Source organism: Homo sapiens, chromosome 12 (genome assembly GCF_000001405.40).
Source record: "Homo sapiens chromosome 12, GRCh38.p14 Primary Assembly".
NCBI classification, from domain to species: Eukaryota; Metazoa; Chordata; class Mammalia; order Primates; family Hominidae; genus Homo; species Homo sapiens.
In genome coordinates, this window is record NC_000012.12 from 5,579,875 (window position 1) to 5,604,468 (window position 24,594).

Genomic DNA, 24,594 nt, shown 5'->3' on the forward strand with positions numbered 1-24,594 from the left:
GCATCCCTGGGATCACTCAAATGCCACCTCCTTGGTGAAGCCCCATCCCTCCTCCTCTGGACCCCACCACCCTGTGTTCAGGCTTCTGTTGCAGCCATCACTGTGTGCTTCTGTGATTGACTTGCTCACACATCTTTATTTCCCACTGAGAAGGCAAGGCCTCCGTCCCTTCTAGGGGTTCAGTACATATTTGCTGATGGAAACACAACCCAGAGTCCAGGAAAGTTACAATGTAGTAGGACTCCCCTACATACTAAGGGCAAATTATTAAACTTTCTGTGCTTCAGGTACTTCAACTGTAAATTGAAGATAATAGTAATACCCACCCAATAGGGTTCCCAGAAGGGTAAATGATATTACATACAAAATATGTACAATGTACATACAATGTACAATATGTACAATGTTGGATACATAATAACTGTTTAATAAATGGTATCTTTTATGTGTAATTTTATTCTTATTGGAATAAATATCAACATGTACAGATGACTGCAATGTATACTGTATACTTATATGCTAAACAGACACAAACTTAAGGTTTAAGCACTGAATGAGAGAGACCCGACTTCTAGACCTGGATATGCTTCTAACTAGAGGTATGATTTTGGCCAAGCCTGTTTGTTTCAATGGGCATCAGCAACCTCATTGATAAATTGAAGGGACCGGTTTAAATTGCCTCCAACTCTGATTTGCTGTGATGCTATGGTTCGCATTGTCTTAGACAAGCTTCGTGAGTCTAGAATATTCAAATGAAGAATGAAAAAACTGACACAAATGGGAAAAAAATTCTGTTTCTACAGAGGGATAAGAGCAACCACAATAGAAGTTTCAGGAAAGGGAACAGGCATGGAACTTTCCCCAGCCCAACTGCTTTTGATTTGGCAGTTTGCTCAGCCCACAGTTGTGGGTCACTGTTCTTGCTGATTCAACCCTGTCCACTGCCATTGTCCTTGGTGCCCAGTAGGTTCCTGCAGGCCCTAGGAGGCCGGCAAGTGCTGGTCGGTAGCAAGACACCTGCACCGAAATACACAGATTTGTCAAGGTTGGGACCTTAGAGTGATCACCTGACTAGCTGGCTGGCCAACAACGATTGGAGGGTGGTGGAGAAATCCCCAAAAACAAGCTCTGGAAGCCAGTTCAAAATGCAGGATCTCTCTCATCTTTTAAATAAAGCTTTGCTGAGGAATTCACTTTGGAGTCAGGAATGGGGATAAGGCCAGGAGGGTGTGGGGATGAATGGAATTAACAAGGAAACGAAAACAGATGTTAGACTAGCATTCTAAAACCTGTAAAATGCATGTCTGTGTTTAAGTGTATGGATGGATGTATATTTATGGAGTTATAAGCTGGTCTTCTTGATTCTAATGAGCTCAGTTCAGCAGGGCAAATGTTCTTATCATGAGTGACTTCCTCCAGCAGAAATGTGCAAACTCCCCAGAGCCTCCGCAAGGGTTTGGCAAGGAGACTGATGGGGAGGGAGAAGGGCAGTTTACTTCTGAGGGATTGCAAATGTACACAGCATGCCCTCACCACATTCGTGCACATGGTACTCTGAAATCTAACTTCCTTCCAGGGTTATAGGAAAAATGGGACTCTCCACTTCCTCTTCTCTCTTCATTTGAACTCCAGAGGCAGACATGAATGCTGTCTTCTAGGGCTTCCCTGCTGGTTTGCTTCTTTACCTTCACAAACTCTCCAGACATGGACTCTCTGGTGTCCCTCTTCTGTCAACGCAAACATCTTCCAGTGCTGGCTTGATGCTCTCTAATAGCTCCTGTTAATCACCCCAGTCCCATAACAAAATGTCCCTCCTCCTTCCCCTCGCCATGTAAGTCTCTATGTTCAGCACTGGATGGCCTCAAGAGACTGGGCTCAGCAATGCTGGACCTGAAGTGACAAGATCCTCCTGTCCCCTCCTCTGGTGTTACTCCATGGTATCCTGAGCCAAGAACAGGCCCTCTCTGCAGACGCCCCATTGCTGCAGATGTCGCCTGCTCAGACTGGGTAATCTGAGCATTGCCAGGATTCAACCCAAAGAGGCAGAAACAAATAGGAAGTTTTGTTTTATTTGGGGGAGAATAAAACATAAAACCATAACTCTCTAGCATGCAAATTCCAAATCCAAGACTCGCTCTTTTCAGTCAAAGGTCTAAAATGCTGGGAGTCCTTCTGGGCTCACTTCAGAGGATACAATGATACCGGCTTTTGCCAACACCAAGATTTGTTTCTAAAAGCAGCAAGCCTCCATTAGAATAAGAGCAACACCGGAAATCCTCCGTGCGCTGCATAATAGAAGCCAGCTCGGCCTGACCAATAACAGATTAAGCCTGGCCAAGCCAATTAGGGAGGAAACTTTGAGTTGATTTTCAACCAAATCTTTATAAAGCCTGCTGTAAAATGCTCCAGTAATGCTGAGCTCAAAGGCTGGAAACTCCTCCATGCAAACCCCATTGGTTTTCTCTTCTCACCCTTCAGCAGCCAAGGATCTTCTAGAATAACCATCAGCCCTACACTGCCTGAAGCTGGAGACATTTCTGCATCAGTGATTTCCTGAGTTTAGGTTAAAATAACAAGGAAGAGTGGGTTAAACTAACCAAGACAATATTCAACAAGGACGTTTCAAGACAATCTGTTTAGAGAACACAAACAGTATAGTAGATAAAATAGAATGGACTTGCCAGGATTGGTGGAGAAGATTTTGATGGAATACAATTCTGATTTTTTACTCATTTATTTAAGATTTTTCAGTGAACATATCCAGAACCATTTCCTCCCCACCCATGTTCTGTGCTAAGGGCAAATATTTAGCAAGTATGTTGGAGATCAACTCCGCCTGCCTTCCAACCATTCCAAGACCATTTGTACTTCCCCAAACTCACCATGATTTCTACATTTCTGAGCCTTGGTACATGCCACTACTGTCTGTAATTTTCCTTTTCTTCTGGTCGGCTGAGTAGGATGCTATTCATCTCTCAGGCTCAACTCAAACTTCGCCTTCTGTATGAAGACTCCCCTCCACCTCCATTTCCCACCAGCACTGCAGGTGGAACTCGGTGCCTTGGGCATCTCTCATCCTCACTCCCATAATGCCTTGACACGCCTCTCTGTTTATTTGACCTGCTCCCTAGATGGAAAGCCCCTTGAGACCAGGGGCCTTATTTGATTCTTTTCCAAGTCCTCACTCACCATCTTTTGTGGTGCCTATCACATAGCAGATGCTCAAAGATTATCTGTTTCATAAATCTGACCTTATTTTCACCAGTTGTGAAACACACACACACATACAAGGTCAAAAATGAAAATGTGTGACCTGAGAGCACTGCACTTGCTGATGGTGAAAAGAGAGGTAGACATGAAGTATGAACACCTCTACATCGCAATTCTCATTGCTGCAATCGGCACAGAAGACTTCGAAGAAAGTTGTAGTAAAAACAGTTGGTTAGGAGAGTCCAATTCTAATGAAAATGATTATAGCTTTTAAAAAAATGCTTTCTGGCTGGGCGCGGTGGCTCACGCCTGTAATCCCAGCACTTTGGGAGGCCGAGGCGGGCGGATCACAAGGTCAGGAGATCGAGACCATCTTGGCTAACACGGTGAAACCCCGTCTCTACTAAAAATACAAAAAATTAGCCGGGCGCAGTGGCGGGCGCCTGTAGTCCCAGCTACTCGGGAGGCTGAGGCAGGAGAATGGCGTGAACCTGGGAGGCGGAGCTTGCAGTGAGCCAAGATTGTGCCACTGCAATCCGGCCTGGGCTAAAGAGCGGGACTCCGTCTCAAAAAAAAAAAAAAAAAAAAAAAAAAAAATGCTTTCTATTGTTTAATAAAAGCAACACAGTCTGCTTAAAGAAGTTGAATATTGGGGGCTTAAGAATTCTCCTTTTTGAGTGTTGGCAAAGCAGGACTACCAGATCGGTTGTAAATATCAGAGGTGGAGGAGACACTGAAGTGACTTCAGAGCCAGAGGGGAGTGCAGAATATCATCATGGTGAACAAAGATGGCATTCCCATCAAGAGCACCATGGTCAACCTCACCACCACAGAGTGTGCCAGCTTCCTGCACAGCTTCATCCTGAAGGCACGGAGCACCATGCATGAAAGTGACCCCCAGAATGATCTCACCTTCCTTCGAATTTGCTCCAAGTAAAATGGAATTATGGTTGCACCAGATAAAGACTATTTCCCGATTGTGATTCAGAATCCAAACAAATAAGCCATTCTCTTGGCTCCCTGTGTCATTCCTTAATTTAATGAACACCCCCCCCCCGCCGCAAGAATATTAATGTTGATCATGTCAACAGACTGGCACACGGCAGTTGCCTTAGAGCCCACTCGAACCAATCCAGTGACCATGTGAGGGCTGGCGGCTCTGCCTACCCCGCCAAAGGGACTCCTGTGTGCACCAACCTTCCCCAGAGCTCCCGGAGGGCCCTTTCTCCTCACTAACAGGTTTTGGAGCAAGAGCTTGTGAGAAACTCACACCCAGCTTCCTTCTGACATTCAGTTCACTTTGTGGCCCTTGGAGAAGGCTGTTTTTCTTTAATTAAAAATAACTGAAATGCTTAAAAAAAGAATCCTCCTTCTTATGAGCCATTAATGAGCAGTGCAAGGGAATCATGGAAGGACACACTGGTATGAGCTTGTCTTCTCACTCAGGAGGCAGTAAGTGAAAGATTCCGCTAGAAACAGCCCATTAGTACATACTTATGTAAGAGCACAGCAGGGGAAGGTCATAACTATTTATTTCCTCAGCCCATATTTTACGACTGTGCCCAGGGATCCCCTTTTCCCAAGAGCAAGGGAAGCCAACTATGCTTTGGGCTGACAACGTCTGGCATAAAAAGAATTGCAAGTGTCGATTGTACACATAAATAGGAAAAGACAGTGAGAAGAAAAGGCACGAGCTATTTTAGATCCTCAGCATGGGCCTCCATTGCTTAGAAAAATGGTGAAGCCTTGACAGAAACATAAGAGAGTTCTCAACGTCCATCACTCACCATCCACTCACTCATGCATTCATTCAGCAAGCATTTACTGAGCACATTCTATATACTGGAGACCATGTGCATTGCTAAATACGAAGATGAGCAGATTACTGTGGCATCCTTCCAAGGGCTCAGAATATGCTGTGGGGAAGATGGACATGGAAACAATCCTTGACAGCCTCACGTGGTGAGAACAAAATGCCAGCATTAACAGTGCTGTAGAGTGCTGGGCAGAGGTAACTGACTGTCACCAGCAGACCCATGGAGGCTTTGCACCATTCATCACTGGGCTCCACGTGAAGAACAAGTAGAAGACGCATAAGAAAATTTGCTATATGGTTGGTAGTTAAGGTCGTTCCTGCAAATTCACTGATCCAAATTCACAAAAAACTACTTAAGAAATAAGGACAATATGTGGAATTCCTTTTCAGTCTGCATGGAGTCACCTGGGGGTTTACACAATGGATCGGGCCTGATTCAAAAAGCCTGGGAAGTCATAACAGGAAGGGACAGGCTTGAAGTCACAGCTTAGGTATTAAGAGTTTACTGCATGCAAAGCAATGCAATGCTGGGACAGATCAGTAAGGCACATTTGGCTCCGAGTTTTCTTCATTTCTTTGTGTTTAAAGGAGACTCAGTCCCTGCTCTTTCTCCCGTCCCACATCAAAGCTAGGGAGACTTGAGTTGGCAAGATCTACTGATCCACTTCCTGGAGGACAGACTGGTGAACTTCCAGTAAATATTTACTGAAATAACAAATGAATGGTCTGGCTTTCTCACTCTTGTTTACGTTATCCACCTGCAAGATGGGAGTGTGAAGGACAATTATTCATTCATCCTTCCTCCCATCCCTCCATCCTCTCATTTGGACTGTGGTAATGTAGTGCGTGAGTTCGAAGGGCAATGAAACCAGTCATGATTGGAATGAAGTTCCCAAGCAACAAATCATTACTGAGGACCTTTCTTTGCTTTATTCTTTCTCCTCTACCTCTTCCCAAAAGGTTTGTGCAAAAGTGAACAAAATGAAAATAAAATTAGGTTTATAGGATTTTAGAAAACGGAAATAAGGAGCACAGAAAAGAGGACAAAACAAGTAAGAAAACTCGGGGAACCACAATGCAGCTATGTTTGAGCAGTAACGTTTACTCTGAGCTTCCCGGTTGTTAGAGCAAGAAGAGAAATGGGGCAGCAGTACAGTTCTTCATCAGTTTTAAACTAAAAGACTGCCTTCCCTCCATTCCTTCCTTCCCTCCTCAAGCACTGACTAGGCATCTTCTGTATCCCAGAAGCCTTTTGTGGTACGCTGAGGGCTGTGGTATCCAGATACACTTTTGCCTTTTTTCTTAAAGGCGTGGGGATGCAGTCTAGGGCAGATAACACCAAGCAATCTATGCCTCAGCAGCAAAAGGACAGAAATGACCTGGGACTCAACCTACTTCTCAGAAATGCTGAAGCCAGCCCCTCGATGCTGCCTCAATTGTGTTTAAACGCCATTTGGAGAAGATGGCAGGAGCCTCATTATCCAGTGGAATGACTCAGCGTGTGTAAACAGGATGGCCCAGGGAAAGGAATTTCCTGGTTCTTTGAGCCATTGGCTTGTAACACACACACACTTGCAGTTCTTTGTGACAGAATATGTGGGCCTCAGTGCTGATGGTTTCTCAGGTATTCTAGAAAATCTGATCACTTACATCCAGCCTCTGTTGGAAATTTGGAAATTACCCATTGCAGTCTTTACCATCCATGACCAAAGAATATCAGAGTTGAAAAGAATGTGGTGTCACCTAAGTTATCCCTCCATCTGAAGCTCAGGCCATTCTGCTCCTTTAATAAGTGTCCACTTTCACCTGATCATTGTCAGGCAGGGAACTCAGTACCAGAGCCCGTCATTTTCATTGTTTTTGATTCTCTGTCTCCGTTTTAAGTCACCGGGACTCTGGAGTATTTGCTACAAAGCATTATCATAGCAGTAGTTGTCTAATATATGGGGTAGTTTTCCTGAACTATCCAGATAATTGCATAAGTTCATCAATTTATGCTGCTATAGGAGACCAGCTCTATGGATGACAGCATTCCCTAATTACTAGCACTTCAAAATAAGGAGACTTTGCACTGCAAGGGGTGGTGTAGGTTGTCCCAACTAAATCAATACCACAAGGATGTCTGGAGAGTTTTCATGAAAGGTAACGTCTGCAGAGTCCAACTGACAGCCCGTCCCCACACCCAGCCGGCCCAAAAGGTCCTCACTACAGGATCACTTCTTTCATTCTTCCTTCTTAAGAAAACATTCATAGAGCACTTACTGTACGCCAGGCCTTGTGGTGAAGTGCTGTGAATCAATAAGACACAAATCTCACCCTCAAGAAGCTTCCATCACAATTTAGTGAGTATCATGACCCTGGGCCATTGGTCTTCAGGTGAGAAGAACTGACAATCACATCATTTATTTATCTGAATGAAACGGTGATAAAACTTTACCAAGAGATTTTTTTGGGACTTGTCACTAAACTCTTCCGGGATTAAACTTGGGCCTACATCCTTCTGCTCAGGAGGAAAAGTCAAATGGCTGCAAGTGTCCAGAGAACTTAAGCTTGCAGCTCTTAAAGCAAATGAAGAATTTCCTCTCATCAGCCCTGAGGAAAACCCCATGACAGGGCTGTGAGGGGCCTGCGGCAATGGAGCTTTGAAGCCCCATTTTGGGGTAGGGGACAGTGATGATTAATGTCATGGCCATCTCTTGGGCCAGTTTTCTTTCATCCCCTCCGAGATGGGGGAGTGGGAGACGATTCCTAAAGTCCTTCTTAGTAAGCCCTTCAGGAAAAGGTTTGATATTGGAGATTCCCTCGAAAGCCAGCTGCTACCCTCCCAGGTTTCTCCAGCTTAATCCCTCCCTCTCAGGTTTCCCTTTGTCTGGAGCCAGCCCATCCCCACATCCACTGGCCTGAGGAGGCTCCCCACCCCCATGCACCTCCTCAGGCTGATCCCAGCCTCCCTTCACCTCGCAGCCCCTCCCCCAAGCCTGCTGGGCCCCAGCCCAGGTTCCAGTTCAATTTAGAAAAATGTAAATATAATACATCTCCCCCTGCTGCCTCCCTCCGTTGAGGACCTGCCCCACCATTCCTACTGACAGGCCCAGAGTGGGCTCAGCGCACTTCCTGTCTGCATGGGTGGTCCTGGGGATCTCAGGGAAAGAGGCTGACAGCTGAGAGCTGGGCCGGGGATCACCATGTCAAGCACACCAGAGGCGGGGGGCAGCTTTGGTTTCATTGCTCTCATTTTTGTTCAAAGTCCAAGACATGGGCCCTTCTGGAACGGGGGAGGTCTAGCCAGTCGGGAAGGAAGGAGGAAGCCTCACTTCATTCCATCCTTCCATGTCAAGCACACCAGAGGCGGGGGGCAGCTTTGGTTTCATTGCTCTCATTTTTGTTCGAAGTCCAAGACATGGGCCCTTCTGGAACGGGGGAGGTCTAGCCAGTTAGGAAGGAGGGAGGAAGCCTCACTTCATTCCATCCTTCCACAGAAGCCCAAGTTACTACAGGTCTTGAAGCACGTCTCCCGTGGAATGGTCTGGAAAGTGGCTCTAACCTCAATTCCACTAGTGAGTCATCTGGGTGACCTTAGGCAACTCACATTACCCTGGGCCTCTTGGCTTTGAGGTGCACTGTTCAACTAGGATGTATGAACCATCATGTCATCACTGGAAGGCGCCCTGAAGGTCAGCTGGTCTCATGGTCTGAAACTTATTATTCCTGTCAAGACACTCAATGAAAAATGATGACCTGCACTTCCATTTGTGTATGCTGAAACGTCCCTTCCTCAAAAAACATCTAGAAATCTAAGAAAGTGAGGGTGGCACTGACTCTGTTTTACCTTGTATTTCTAAAACATTGGCAGTAGTGCATTACTTGTGACACATTGCACAATTGGTTTTGACCACAGACCGGTGGGTTGCATCACTGCAGGGAAAAACTCATTCTCTGGTCTAATTCCCTACAATTTCCAGGAAAAAAGGGAAGCCAGGGAAATTATACGACGCCATGCCCTAGGCCACACTGCTAGATAGAAGCAGAGCTGCATCTGCACCCGAGTCTCACCTGACACCCTGGGAACATGGGAAGGAGAGACGCTCACTCTGCCTACAATGGTCATCTAAAGATACAAGAGGCAGCAGATGTGAAGGGGCTTTTACTTCAAAGACGAGGGTGCAGAGAAATCAGAAGTAATGATAAGGTGACTGCCGCCAAGTCTTAGTTATCCATGGAGACGGCAGAAACTATTGCCCCCAATGAAGTTTTGACATCTGCTGTGAACTTCATCTTCTCTCCCACCAAGCTAGTTCCCAGAGCTGCTGCGATCTTTGAACTGCATGGGTGGGTTCACGTTACACCTTCTCTTATTTCCCTGGCTTACTCGCTAGAAAGGAGTGCCTAATAGGCCTGGGATGGGGGAGGGGAGGAGGCAGAGGAAGAAAAGGGGTGGCAGGAGAGGGAGACAGGGAAGGAGGAAGAGGAGAAAGAGAAATAAGGATAACCACCTCTCTTGATAATCCACTCACTGGATTATCAGCCCATAAATAAATGAGAATTGACCACGGCTCAGCATCACTAGAAAGTGAGATTCTGTTAGCCTAGGTAAGAGAAAGCCGAAGACATAAATGATACACTCATTTATTCAGTTACCCCCCTTTACAGGCTTACCCAATATGTTTTTAGTGACTATGCCCTGGCGGGGGGGTGCTGGGCAAGGCCCTGCAATTTGAAGAATCGGCCCTTGGGAAATTAATTACCAAAGGCATCTCTATTTTAGGAGACAGCTTGTCTGAAATCCTGTGGGGCAGGGGGAAGGGGGAGGTGGTAAGGAGCAGGTGACACGAGAGGTGGCTTTGGATGCACGCATGAGAAGGCGCAGGCAAGCCCAGGGCCGGGAGAGCACTCAGGACAGGCAGGGCAGGAGGGAGCTGTAGGGTGCGGAGGATTCACTTTCCTGGACCACAGGACATGGAGAAGGACCTAGGATTAAATAAACGAGAAGGATGCTCTGGGAGGGCCTCGCTAGGAGCACGGGAACCCTGATGGTTTTTGGACACCGGAGGGATATGACCAACACTACACCTCGGAAGGAATAAATGAGGCAGTGGCGAGACGGTGGTGGCTGCAAGTGGCTGTGTTGAGGATGTAGTTAAAAAAAAAAGAAAAAGCAAAAGCACCAGGGAGGAGGCAGGGCAGACACAGCAGATTCCTAAGATACCCTATTGCAAGCTTGTCCAACCCCTGGCCCATGGGCCACATACGGCCCAGGACAGCTTTGAATGTGGCTCAACACAAATTCGTAAACTTTCTTAAAACATTATGAGATTTTTTTTTGCTCATCAGCTATCATTAGTGTTACTATATTTTATGTGTGGCCCAAGACACTTCTTCTTCTTCCAATGTGGCCCAGGGAAGCCAGAAGATTGGACACCCCAGCTCTAGAGGAAAGATCGTCGACACAGCAAGCCTACTGGATGGGAGGCACATGGAGACGGAACAGAGAATGAGCAGTGATGTTAGATTTCTCAGCCAGGGGCCTGGAGGATGGTGGGGCCATTAATGTGGCACAGAACTCAGAAAACAGTCAAGGGTATGAAGCCTGCAGGCAGAAAGGCTTAGAAATGTTTCCCCGAAATGGATTCTGGTCTGGGCCCTTCCCTGCCTTGTTTGAAGTCTCGAGACAAGCCTGGGGCAGTAAGCGGGAGAAGAGCCTCCTGCATCCAGTTCAGAGTTTGCTTGGCCTCAGTAGGTGGTTTCTAAAACCCAAAGACAAGGCCAAAAGAATGAGAAGAGCAGGCGATCTTCGAGCACACCTCTCTGCTGGTCAACCGGAAGCAGCAAAGACCTAGCCTCTGCAGCAAGCATCACTAGGCAAACTATTTTCTAGAACAGTAGGTCCTTTCTTATAACTGTCTGTGTGCCCATATGGGGGCCAATGGAATTTCCCCTTTGTCCTGGGAAGGTCTGCTGAAAAACCAACTCATGATAAGGCAGATTAACAAGAGAAAAAACTAGCGGCCGAGCGTGGTGGCTCACACCTGTAATCCCAGCACTTTGGGAGGCCAAGTCGGGCAGATCACCTGAGGTCAGGAGTTCGAGACCTGGTCATGGTGAAACCCCGTCTCTACTAAAAATACAAAAAATTAGCAGGGCGTGACGGGAATGCCTATAATCACAACTACTCGGAAGGCTGAGGCAGGAGAATTGCTTGAACCTGGGAGGCAGAGGTTGCAGTGAGCCAAGATTGCGCCACTGCACTCCAGCCTGGGCAACAAGAGCGAAACTGTCTCAAAACAAAACAAAAACTACCAATTTGTTACTGCTATGCACACGGGGAAAATCACAGAGTGATTGCCCAGTATCCCAATGTAGTACAGGTGCTTACATACCCTGCTTCTTAGGGGAAAGGGTGTGGGAAGTGCGGATGATTTTAGGGGGATAGTAAGTGATTTCAGAGGAATTTCATGGGCTTAAAGAACATGCAATGGTTTGGGGCAAAGTCTATTGAATCTGCAGAGCAGACAATGATTTGTGACAAAAGTCTGTCCAGGTTTGTTGACCGACTTTAGTCTTCTTTCCTGCAATGTGGGTTCAGTTCATGAAAACTCAGGGAAGGGATTGGAAGTAATTGTTCTTTTCTTTAGTAGGTCCAGACTTTTAGGCAGCTAAGGGAAATTCAGCCTGTGTGTTGAGAGAGGTAGAGGATTGAGAGAAGGGTGGGAGAGATCGTTCTCCTTGGTAGGTCTGACTGGTCTTTACATACATAGGGGAAAAATCTCCTTTAGCACTGTTCATCTCTAGGATCTTTAAATCAAAATACTTACTATGCCAGGGAGTCATACTTTGGGGTGAAGTTCCCTGAGCTCCTTCACACATCTCTCTCTCACACCAGACCCTGAAACTCTGGAGGGAACAGGCATGTCTGTTGTCTCTGTGTCCCCAGTGCCTGGCAGCAGTGCAGACACCACAGCGCTGCCCCGGGGGAGGGCAGGAGGGGAGTCACTGCAGAGGCAGGGATGTGGCCTTGGAGTTGAGGTCAGAGCCAAGTCTGAAAGAGATCATCTCACCCTGTCCACTAACACTAATGACTTGACCCCTTAGGGAAAGGAATAAATTAAAATCAGAAGTGACTTTTCTTTGAGAGAAACTCTGATAATAAACATGGTTCATTTTGGTCTTAGGAGACTAAAATTATTGCACATTAAAAATTACACAAATATGTCCATAGTGAAGAAGGTGGCCCACAGGTCATGGGATCAAGAGAAGCGGGACTTCTATTTCTCTACCAATGAAGGAAAAGGACTTATGAGGCCATTCATTTAATAATTATTTCATTGTGTTATCAGGTTCTAGTACCCATGCTGAGTGTTGCGACTAGAGAGGAATAAGACATTGTCCCTGTCCCCAAAGCACTCACATGTTTGAAAGGGTGCAGGTACAGGAGAAGAGGGGAAGAGAAAAACTGAGGATGGGAGAATGAGAAAATGGTGCCAAGGGCAAATGTGTCTGAGCCTGCAACACTCAGCAAGCAGTCACGGGTAGGCGACATGGCATAGGCAAATTGGACGTGAGAGTGTGAGATAACCAGATACACACACGCGGGCCTGCAAGAAGATGCAAAACAAGAGCCAGCTTGGGATGACCTCATCTGCTGCACTGGGCGTGTGAACTTTATCTGAAAAGAAGTCTGTAGCGTTGAAGGATTTTAAGTAGAAAAATGAATGCAATCTGGCTTGCATCTTTTAAAAGCCGTTCTAAAAAGCAAGAAGGAAAGGTAGAAGGAGTGAAAAAGAAGCAGGGAGTCAACTTAGGATGCATTTCCAGTAATTCCAAGGAGAAATGGTGAGGGTTCAAATAAGAATCCAAAATTCTCAGTAGAGGCAAAGTCAGCGAGGTAAGTATCCACAAATAGAAACTCTCCCCAGTTAGGGTTCACGCAAAGTCAGAAAGTAGTCATGGAGGTTAAGAGTCCACAGGCGTTCCTCCTGAACCCAGAAGCTCAGACTTGCCATTTCAGGAGACAACTTGAAAGCGGCCACAAGAGCTTTAACATCTGGTCTCCGAGAGGAACCTGCCCTATGCATTTCCTTGACACGGTGATTTCTACAGGCCTTGGTGCACACTTCCAGAGAGCAGGAGAGGCTGGGGGTCTCTGCCTTTCAAAATAATTATCTGGCTTTTACTCCAAATGAATGAATAAGTAAACATGCAATCATGGATGCACTTCCCTTTCTGTGAGGGTTTGACAGGATATAAGCTCATGACCAAGAAAAATAAGATCTGCTCTCATGACTGTGTGAATGAATGACAGAAGAAATTCATCTCATCACCCACAGTAATAGCCCAAGGGCCTCAAAACTGTGGTTGCATTTAAGAAGCTGGGGGAAGGCTGTAAGGGAGATAATTGAATTCCTGAGGCAGGATTATAATAGCGATTATTTTTTGGATGACTAGAGGAACAAAAGCTTGTGGGTTTTAGATAAACAGATGACAAAAAGAGCCCATCTGAGAGTCCAGACTTGTCAATAGAGCCCTGAGGGCTTAGAGTTTACTGAAAAGACAAACATCTTGGAGTGTTTAGAGCTCAGGCTTCTGATTCTTAGGTATGCCTTGGGGTCTGGTACCCTCATTCTTTAATAATTAGGGCACAGCCTACACTCACAGTACAGGAAGAACCTCCAGAGATCACCGTATTCAGGAGCTTCAAACTGTTTTGAGTCAAAAACTTTCTAGATTTGAGAGAAACTGAACTCTGGACAATAACAACGGTGGCCAATGTTCATTGACGGTCTACATGTGGAAGCACTCTACATGCATCAACTGACTCCCAGAATAGTCCTATGAGGTAGGTGCTATTATCATCAAACCTACTTTTCAGATGGGAGAATTGGACCTGGCTGACTTTAAGCCTCAAAACCAGAGTCATGTAGCTAGCATGCAGCAGGGTTAGGTTTGAAAGCCCAGTGGTTCAACGGCAGTACCACCCCTAACCACACTTAGCTGCTTGATGAACTTTAATGAGGGTTATTCTGCAGCCCAGTCTTTGTACTTGAGAAAAAGTATGTCCTTAAAGGATTAAGAGGATAGTCCAGAGATAAAAGAGATGAACGAAACCTAATCCAGAAAACATTGTCCTCACACTTAATAAAATATGAAATAAAATAGCCATGTCTCTAAAACACATCTCTTAAGATTGAAAGTCATAGCAAAATAGACTAAAGAATTCTATGAGCCAATCCAGCTTGAAAAACCCCTGTATGATTCCTCTTCCAGATAAGATTGCATCAATATCAACTGAATTGTTGACTCAATCAATATCAGGAACAACCTGAATTGCTCAAGAGACTGTCCTGGTCTCCAGACTTGCTCCTCCCTCCAGGTGCTTAATAAATGTTTGATGAATGAATTGATAAGTGAATTCTTGCACCTGTGTTTTCTCTTTTCCTCCTGAGCCTTACTATCCCTCCTCTGCACTTGCTGCCCAATTTCCCAAGCAAAGAGTATACAGTCACCACATTGGCCAAGATTTTACAACTACTTCATATGGTCTGATGTGAAATGCAAACCTGTCTGGTCTTCAGGGTTTTCCACTAATCCCAGGTCTGTATCTGAACCTTCCATACCTCAAAACTACCATTTGCTTTTCCTTGTCAACAGTTACTCGTGGCCGGGTGTGGTGGCTCATGCCTGTAATCCCAGCAATTTCAGAGGCCAAGGCGGGAGGATTGCTTGAGTTCTGGAGTTAGAGACCAGCCTGGGCAACACAGTGAAACCTCACAGCTACAAAAAAATCAAACAAATTAGCTGGGTTTGGCGGTGCATGCCTGTAGTGCCAGTTACTAGGGAGGCTGAGGTGAGAGGGTCACTTGAGCCTGGGAGGTCCAGGCTGCAGTGACCCATGATGGTGCCACTGCACTCCAGCCTGGGTGATGTAGCAAGACCCTGTGTCAAAACAAAACAACAACAACAACAAAAACAGTTACTCATGGCCAGGAGACTCGCTGCACTTGCCAGTCCTTTTCCCTGGAGTGCTCTTCTCTGTTCTTATCATCTATATGTAGATCTCCAGAATCAGAAGAGATCTTGGGATTACTAAATCAACCTCCCACTTACAGCTGGAAACCTCTTCAGAACATCCGTAGTTCACCATCAATTAAGCCCTGCTTTGAAAATGTAAATCCTTTACTTGTCTTGTAAAGTTATTATTATAGAGTTAACTCTGTCAAGAAACCTTTTCTCATTAATTAGCGCATGCATGCATTCATTCATTCCCTCATCTTTGTGTATCAGACATACCGAGTGTTTGAGTTTTGTTTTTGTTTTTTTTAGAGATGGGGTGTCACTCTGTCACTTAGGCTGGAGTGTGCAGTGGCACAATCATAGCTCACTGCAGCCTCAGACTCCTGGGCTCAAGCAATCCTCCCACCTCAGCCTCCCAAGTAGCTAGGACTATAGGTGTACAACACTACACTCTACTGTTTTTTTTTCTTTTCTTTTCTTTTCTTTTTCCTTTTTGTAGAGACAGGGTCTCATTATGTTGCTCAGGCTCATCTTGAGCTCCTGGCCTCAAGCAATCCTCCTGTCTCAGCCTCCCAAAGTGCTGGGTTTATAAGCATGAGCCACTGCACCTGGCCTGGAGTGTCTGTTATATGCCAGGAAATGTGCTAGACTCTGGAGGCTGTGAAGATGAATAAGCCATGGTCCCTACCTACTGCTCTTCAGAGTCACTCCTTGACTGGGTCTGTTGAAAAACATATGTGTAAGCAATACTACCATAATTCAGTAAGATGCCATCAGCGTGTGTACCAAACACAATACTAGGACAGAAACAAGTGATGATTTCTCTCAAGAGGAACTGGGGCTTGACCTGGGAAGACTTCCTAGAGGAAGCACCGTGTAAAACTAAGCTAAGGATGAGTCTAGAATATTCAGGTCAACAACGTGGAATGGAGTGGCGTAGGGGGCTGGGAATCCCAAGCTTCCTATACACTGATAATTCTTTCATATCACATGACTTTAGGATTCAGGATATTAAGTGATTTATACTCACTGAAAGGGTATTCTCATATATTGCCCATGCCTGGGTGAATTGTTCTTATTCTTTCAGAAAGCAATTTGGTAAAATGAATCAAGAACCATAGAATGACCATACCTAATCACACCTATGTGAATCTATCTGGGTGAAATAATAATATAAATAAAAGATTATATGCACAAAGATAGTGCTTATAAACCCAGCACTTTGGGAGGCCGAGGCAGGAGGATTGCTTGAGGCCAGGAGCTCAAGATCAGCCTGAGCAACAAAGATAGAGGATTAAAATAGGGAGAATTGTTAAATAAGCCTTCACTGGAAGATAGGCAAGTGAACTATGGCATGCTTATTAAAGGGATTATTACGCAGCTATTCATTTTGAATGTTATGTGATAACTTAAAATATTTATCCATATAATGGGAAATAAAAAAATAAATGTGAGTATGATCAAAATTTTATTTTTAAATTCATGTACATACAAAAAGGGTCTAAGAAACAGCACCAAAATGGTTTAAAAAAATTAAAAGGTTGGATTTGGGAGACAGGTTCTCTTCTGTTTTCAAGATTCCAGGTATAAGATTGTTTTATTCATTTTAAGGTGTGGGGTTTGGGGTTTGTTTTTCTTTCTGGTTTTTCAGTCTATGGTCTGAATCTCACTCTCTACAATCTTGGTGTGAGTTCCTTCCCAAAGTCACCAAGTAAATCTTCTAGTTCTTTACTTTTTTTTTCATTCTTCTCATTTCTTGGTAAGCACCCAAGTTGAAACACATAATAACATGGTAGATGTGTATTCAGTGGCATGGCCCTGACAAAGTAGAGTATATTTCCCTAACTCTGCCTTCCTCAGGCTTCAAGACCATTAAGAGGAATAACACTGGACACTTAATACACAGCTTTTGTATGTGTTAGGCCCTCTTCTAAGCACTGTATTAGCACTAAGCACTAAGACCCTCTTCTATTCACAGATACTAATTCATTCACTACTCCTGACAATCCTATTATATTATTATCTTTTTTTAATAGGCAAGCAAATCAAGACACATAGGAGTCTTGATAAGGGCAAGTGGGTAACTTACACAGGGTTACCCAGCTAGTTGGTCAAAAGCTGGGATTTGAGCCCAGGAAGTATGGTTCAAGGGTCTCTGCTCCTCTTTGTTGTATTTTAATGTTTTATTTCTCTTTTTTTAACTTTTAAGTTTAGGGGTGCAAGTGCAGGTTTGTCACACAGGTAAACTTGTGTCATGGGGGTTTGTTGTACAGATTATTTCATCACCCAGGTATTAAGCCTAGTACCCATTAGTTCTTTTTCCTGATCCTCTCCCTCTTCTCATCCCCACCCTCTGATGGGCCCCAGTGTGTGTTGTTCCTCTCTGTGTGTCCATGTGTTCTCATGGTTTAGCTCCCACTTATAAGTGAAAACATCCAGTATTTGGTTTTCTGTTCCTGCATTAGTATGCTAAAGATAATGGCCTCCATCTCCATCCATGTTCCTTCAAAGAACACGAACTCATTCTTTTTCACGGCTGCATGGTAGTCCACAGTGTACTACGTTTTCTTTACCCAGCCTATCATTGATGAGCATTTAGGTGGAATGTATTCTTTGCTATTATGAACACGTCTATATACATAAACTAGAAAACTTTGGGGTCTCTGCTCTAATCACCCAAAAGAGGAAGCTTTGAAATAGCTGAACAGACAAGGTTGACAAGCATGTGAAACCCACACAGCTAATTGGTGGCGACGGAAGTGGGACCACTGGCGTCAGAGGGTGGAGGCAGACAAACAGATCTCAGGGGTTCCTAATGTAGGCCCTTCCCCAAATGGAAGTCCCAATCTCTGGCAGCACTTTCTTTCATTCTGGGTGAGAGAATGGCAGATGTAGAATGGCGTCTGAAATATGAGCAATATCCTTTGTGTAAATACAGCATCAGAGAGGGATTAGAGGTAGCTCTTAGCCAAACATGAAAGGCATAAAGGGGCTACACGTTTCCTTAAACCAGGTCTTGATATTTTCTTTACATATTGTTTCTGAAGCAGACTTAATGATTGTTTGTTCTCTGGTGAGTTGTTTCAGATTACAAAGTTGAGGCTTTCCCTAGAATTGTAGACATCCCAGGGCTAGGACAATATTTCCATGGCCGTCTGATCTAGACCCTGCCCATTACTCCACTGCTAACAAACACATGCAATTTCCTATAACAGAATAGGAGGAATGCCCATTAGAAATGATGAGTGAGGTAGCCTGTGCACAAAAAGGTACTGACGGCCCTCTGCTACAAGTGACTAGGTGAAGGGAGCAGGAGTCATATGCAAACACAGTGATAGGTGCAATGATACTAAGCACTGAATTAAACATTGAGTGATTTTTTTGATGGATCTTATTGATGGTTCCCCATTGAGTAAATGTTTAGAATGTTTAGACATTATAGCTAAGATCTTTATTTATTTATTTTTGAGACAGACTCTCATTCTGTTGGCCAGGCTGGAGTAGTGACACAATCTCAGCTCAGTGCAAGCTGTGTCTCCCAGGCTCAAGCAATTCTCGTGCCTCAGCCTCCCAAGTAGCTGGGATTACAGGTGCCTGCCACCATTCCTGGCTAATTTTTGTATTTTTAGTAGAGATGGAGTTTCACCATGTTGGCCAGACTGATCTCAAACTCCTGACCTCAGGTGATCCACCTGCCTCTGCTTCCCAAAGTGCTGGGATGACAGGCATGAGCCACTGCGCTCGTCTTATACCTAAGCTCTTGATCTTTGGTATCCTATGCTTTTAATTCATTAGCCCCAAGTCTTGGAAAGAGACTTCTCAAACATCCATCCCAATAGAAGATCAGGATTATAGTCAAGTAGCCAACAGTGCAAAGGCAGCTGGCCTAAGTTGGGACCCTTCTCATAATAAAGAACTCATGGCTTCCAAGCCACATCTAAAATGATTGTGTTCCATCAGCCTGTACTACATGTGCTCCTGCCTTCAAGCCTTATCGAAAACAACTAGAGGCTCTGCAACTAGAAATACACCTCTCACTCCCTACCGAAATAGACCCAACTTTTGTTAAAAAGCTTTCATCTTATCCAGCCTTATCTGATCAAAGTAGGGGATGCTCTTATATATTCTCCAAGTCAAAATGTAGATATCCTTGACCCAAGTGTCATCGGATACTTTCCATGAAGGAAGACTTTCATGGAAACTATATTCTTAAATTTCAGATTGTACTATTTCCCTTTCAGCTTTATCAATAATAGAAACCATGGAAAGGGGCCTGAGAGATCAAACTTTAGTTTATAGATGAGGAGAGGAATCACAAGGAAAAGAGAACATCATCCTAGAATTATCCACCAAACTGTTGACTGAGCTGCTCCAGGTTCTCCTCCCAGGTCTCTTTCTGCCCCATTCTTCTCAACTTTCATGTGGCACTGAAGGGAACACTGAATAGCCATGAAGCTCATGAAGAAGCAGAGGCTGTCCCAGTCATTTTCCCCAATCCCCTACCTTCCCCCTTCAACCCCACAGACCCCTTGTCTGAACCTGCCCCCAGTGGAAGGCAGGACCATGGGTTCTCACTCATTTCCATGTACTCCGGAGTCAGTCCTGTGTATGGTTCCAAGCTGTAGTCTAGGTCCCACTGCTCTGGATGTTTCGAATGGGCAGAGTCAGTTTCTCCAGCTTCGGTCTCATCTTTCAGCTTTCGAAATAGTTTCTTTAGCTTCCTGGAAAAGAAATGGATTAAGTTACAAAAAGCCTCTGGAGAACAGGGTTGGTTTTGCAGACAGAAAAAAGAAAAAGAACACAAAAGTTTTGACACTAAAGCCATCTCTGATCCAAAAACAAGTAGAGATAGAGAGACACTAAAGAGACTACTTTTCTCCTAAAGGCAACCTGAGGAAGTCCTTTATAAAGATCGTGCAGACTCCCTCCACAAAGGATGAGGTTTCTTCAAACCCCAAAATACTTTTGAATTCTTCCTGCTGTCTGACAAGCAACAAGAGAGTTGGCCCTTCCTGCCAATGCTGAGACGGCACCAGTCCTATTGTCCAACAGGTGATCTATCCACCCTCTTCATGGGGGAACACAGGTCTGTTCTCCTCCTAGGTGAAACATTTTTCAGGTCTCAATAACATTAATAGCATCATCTTTCCATTAAAACCAAGCTAAACATTGCCCACCACTACTATGGACTGAATGATGTCTGCTGAAATTCATTTGTTGAAGCTCTAATCCCCAATGTGACTGTATTGGGAGATATGACTTTTAGGAGGTAATTTAGATTAAATAAGGTCAAAAAGGTGGGGTCCTAATTCAATAGGATTGGTGGCTTTATGAGTAGAGGAAGAGAGAAAGGGATATCTCAAGACCATCTGAGGACACAGAGAAAAGGCAGCTACCTGTAAGAAGAGCCCTCATCAGAAATTCAACCCTTTTCGACTTTGATCTTGAAACTTTCAGCCTCTAGAACTATGAGAAAATAAATTTCTGTCAGTTAAGCCTATGGCATTTTGTTACAGCAGCCTGAGCAGACTAAGACAACTACATTCAGGACTTTTTTGGTGTAGAATGATAATAATGGCCCAATTTCTCAGGGTTGAAATAAGAATTAAGTGAAACAATGTTTATACAGTCCTTAGCACAATATCTGGACACAGTAAGCATTGAATAGATGATACCTGTTATTATTTTTAATACCGAATGCTAAAATACACCTTAGGGTGGAGTTATTTCATACTTCCCATTGATGCACAATGTACAGGGAATGGAATTGCAGTTTTTGCAATTACTTTTTAATGGCAAAAACTGCAATTACTTTAAGCAGCAACCTAATAGTTGGGAGACAGTAAAATGGTAAGAATCAAAGACTTGAAGTGTTTAAACGGGATTTTGAAGTCCATGCTTCATCTGGATGTAGGAACCTCCCCATGTCCCCCAACATTCTTCACCCAAGACCACCCAACCCCTGTGTAGATATTTCCAGAGGAGCACTTCTGGTATGATTAGGCATCCCATCCTTGTTTGAAAGTGCCTCTAACAGCTAATGAAAATCTAATAGTTCAAAATAATGTTTTGATCAGTTTCTGGTCTAATATTCCTATTTCCTATCAAGAGGATGTAGTATAGTGGATAAAAGTCTCATCTTTGGTGCCAGAAATTGTATAAAACCAGATTTCACAAATCACCAACTATATGTCCATGGGCAAGTTATTACAACTCTATAAGCTTTAGTTTTCTTATCTTTAAAATGGAGAAATAAATATTAACTTGCCCACAGGGTGAGTTAAAAGACATAATCTATACAGCATGCTTCATTTAGGGCTTGATACATGTTAAGAGCATGTACCAAGATACATGCTCTGATAGACATTTATCAAGATAAATAAAGATAGACAAATATATCATTGTTCCTATTATCATCTTTATCACAGAAGGATTTAAAGAGTGAGCTGAAATTCTTTAGAATTTCATAAGAAAAATTTCATAGTAAAAAATTTCTAAGAAAAAAGTAAGCAATAATTCTGTGATAATAAAAAATTGAAAAAAAACTAGATGGAGCCTACAGATTCTGAAGCTAAATATGTGAGCTGGTTGTGATCCTGTCTGTGAGTCAGAACAGAAGGAGAAGATGCAGGAAAAATCAAAGAGAGAGAGAAGAAAAGAAGAAAGGAAAGTGAGGGAAGTCTAGAACCAGAATTCAAAGTGAGACTTCTCCTCCATGAACAGTAATCAGACGACGTGTTCAAATCTTTAGTAAAAAATTAGTGGTTTTGATTATACATAGAAAATTGAATATAAACATATATTTATCCACTTCTGAAATGCCACTAAAATACCAATGAATGAATTTTAAAAAGTATAAAACCACAAATTAATGAAAATAGTCATGAATATAGTAGTGTGTGAGGAATGTTGATGAATATCTTGGAAGACGGACAGTGTACGAGGGAGTCAGCAAAGCTGTGTGACTGGTATCAACTGTTCACAGTGGAAGATGGTAGAGAGAAACAAGCCAACTCATGCTGTAAATCTCAGAAAGGCTCAGGAGTTGGAGGCACCAGGTATCCCCAAGGCAGGGGGTGGTGACTGGTCAAAGCTCTGCTTAAGGAACAGTAGACGCCAATGGCTCTGTACGCATGTTGCCTAGGTGACTAGCACTTCCCAATACCAACAGGGGCAAGAAGTTTATTCTGAAGAGAAAAATGAGCCAGGAAAAATCTAGATCTGAAATGAATTCAATAAAATGACAGAAAGATTAAAATCAATACTATCTCTCGGAAAAAAAGTAGAACAGACATAGAAATGGACAATAGGAAAGAAAACATTAAAAAATTAATTGATCTAGGAACTCTTTTTTTTTTTGAGACAAGAGTCTTGCTGCATAGCCCAGGATGGGGTGCAGTGGTGTGATTTCGGCTCACTTCAACCTCTGTCTCCCAGGCTCAAGCTATCATCCCACCTCAGCCTCCCAAGTAGCTAGGACTACAGGCATGCACCACCAGGCCCAGCTAATATTTTTTGTATTTTTAGTAAAGACAGGGTTTCACCATATTGCCCATGCTGGTCTTAAACTCCTGGGCTCAGATGATCCACCCACTTAGGCCTCCCAAAGTACAAGGATTACAAGCACGAACCACCACACCCGGCCTGAAACTCCAACACTTAATCAGAAAGAGAAGACAGAGACAATGGTGGGGAAGAAAGTGCAAAAGAAATAAAAGAAAATGTCCCAGAGGTGAAGGACATGCATTTTCTGATTGGAAGGACCCACTCAGCATAATGGTGAAAAAAAAGCCTCCAGCAAAACATATCGTCATGAGATTTCAGAACTTTAGGAATAATGGAAAGGATTCTAAAAGCTTCCAGATCCAGAGAAACAAACATAGATCCTCTACAAATAATTGGGAATCAAAAATAGGTTACAATTCTCCAGATCAGCCCTTGACACTAGAAGACTCTGCAGAAATGTATTTACATTCAGAAGGCAAATAATTTTCAGCATAGACTCCTATACCCAGCCAAAGTATAGACGAAAGTCAAAGACAGACTAAAGACACTTTTAAGTATGCAAGGTTTCAAAAAAATGAACTTTTTATGCATGCATCCATTCTCATGAAGCTCCTGGAGGATGAATTTCACCAACCAAGGATATAAAGCAAGGAAGAAAACATACAGAATCCAGCAAACAGAAACCCCACAAAAGAAAGAAGGTATTGAAGCAACTCAGCTTGATAGCTCTATAGAAGGTTTAGCAAATGAGCAGTTCTGGTTTGCCCGGGAGAACAGAGGATTCCTAGAAATCATCTCCAGGAAAAAAAAATGTGACTAATAAGACATGTGATGTGTTTGATGAAATAATCTCACTGGCAATGGGGACATTTAAACAAAAGTGACCAATAACGACCAATAAAACAAGAGTGACCAATATAAGAGTGTTATAAAGGGAGAAGTTTAGTGATTATGAGAACATAAAAGTCCTAACCTGGCCTAAGGCAGCGAAGTTCTCTTTGAGGAAGAGATGTGTAAACTAACTTAATTTACTAAATAAATAATTTACTCTTACTATTTAAGACTAAATAATGAAAGATGGTAGAAGAAGAAAGAGAAAGGTGGAGAGAGTGTGAGGGGCAAAGAGGTTATTCTAGGCAGGGAGAGTTATTTATGCAACAGCCTAAGGCAAATGTGAAAATGGCTCATAGAAAGGACTGAAGGGAATTCAAAATGCTTGCAGCATAGAGTACAATCAAGAAAATGATGAGGCCGGGCGCAGTGGCTCACGCCTGTAATTCCAGCACTTTGGGAAGCCGAGGCGGGCAGATCACGAGGTCAGGAGATCAAGACCATCCTGGCTAACACGGTGAAACCCCGCCTCTACTAAAAATACAAAAAATTAGCAGGGCACGGTGGTGGGCGCCTGTAGTCCCAGCTACTCGGGAGGCTGAGGCAGGAGAATGGCATGAACCCGGGAGGCGGAGGTTGCAGTGAGCTGAGATAGCGCCACTGCAGTCCGTCCTGGGTGAAAGAGCGAGATTCCGTCTCAAAAAAAAAAAAAAAAAAAAAGAAAATGATGAAAGGTAAGTCTTGAAAGGTAGTGTAGGCTCATGGCATCAAAGACCTTGTACACCATATTATGCAGTGGTTCAGGCGAGAGATTATGGTAGCAGAGTCTGGGGTGATAGCAACGGACATGAAGGGAAGTAGATATATTTGAGACATGCATAAGAGGTAGAATTAAAAAGTGGATGGTGGATCGTACACAGAAGGGAAGGACAATGAGGAATCAGCGATGATTCTCATGGTCTTAGGGCATGTGTGTGGTTGGTGGTGCCGATGGCTACGATAGAGAATACAACGTAAGAGGCAGTTTTGATGAGGATGAGGAGGAGGAGGAGGAGGAGTTGTTCTTGCCATGTCTAAGTGGGGAAACCCACGAGACAACTAAGTAGAGATGTCCAGTAGGCAACTGCATATCTGTGCCTAGAGCCCTGGAACGATCTGGGACTGATGGAGATCTGAGAATCATCGTGGAAAGAGCGGCGGAAGCCCTAGGAATGAGCAATGCC

The 24,594-nt window shown here is 43.9% G+C and overlaps 1 protein-coding gene and 1 pseudogene across 3 annotated transcripts in view; one reads left to right on the forward strand and one right to left on the reverse strand.

The window, feature by feature from the left end:
- The window catches only part of ANO2 (anoctamin 2), a 383,578-nt gene that overhangs the window by 17,220 nt on the left and 341,764 nt on the right, over positions 1-24,594 (reverse strand). For all 3 annotated transcript variants that reach the window (NM_001278597.3, NM_001364791.2, NM_001278596.3), the window contains one exon: positions 19,610-19,755. In NM_001278597.3, coding sequence (NP_001265526.1) covers positions 19,610-19,755 — 146 coding nt within the window. The remainder of the gene's footprint in view (positions 1-19,609; positions 19,756-24,594) is intronic.
- On the forward strand, positions 3,887-4,571 carry LOC101901829 (dynein light chain roadblock-type 1 pseudogene; annotated as a pseudogene).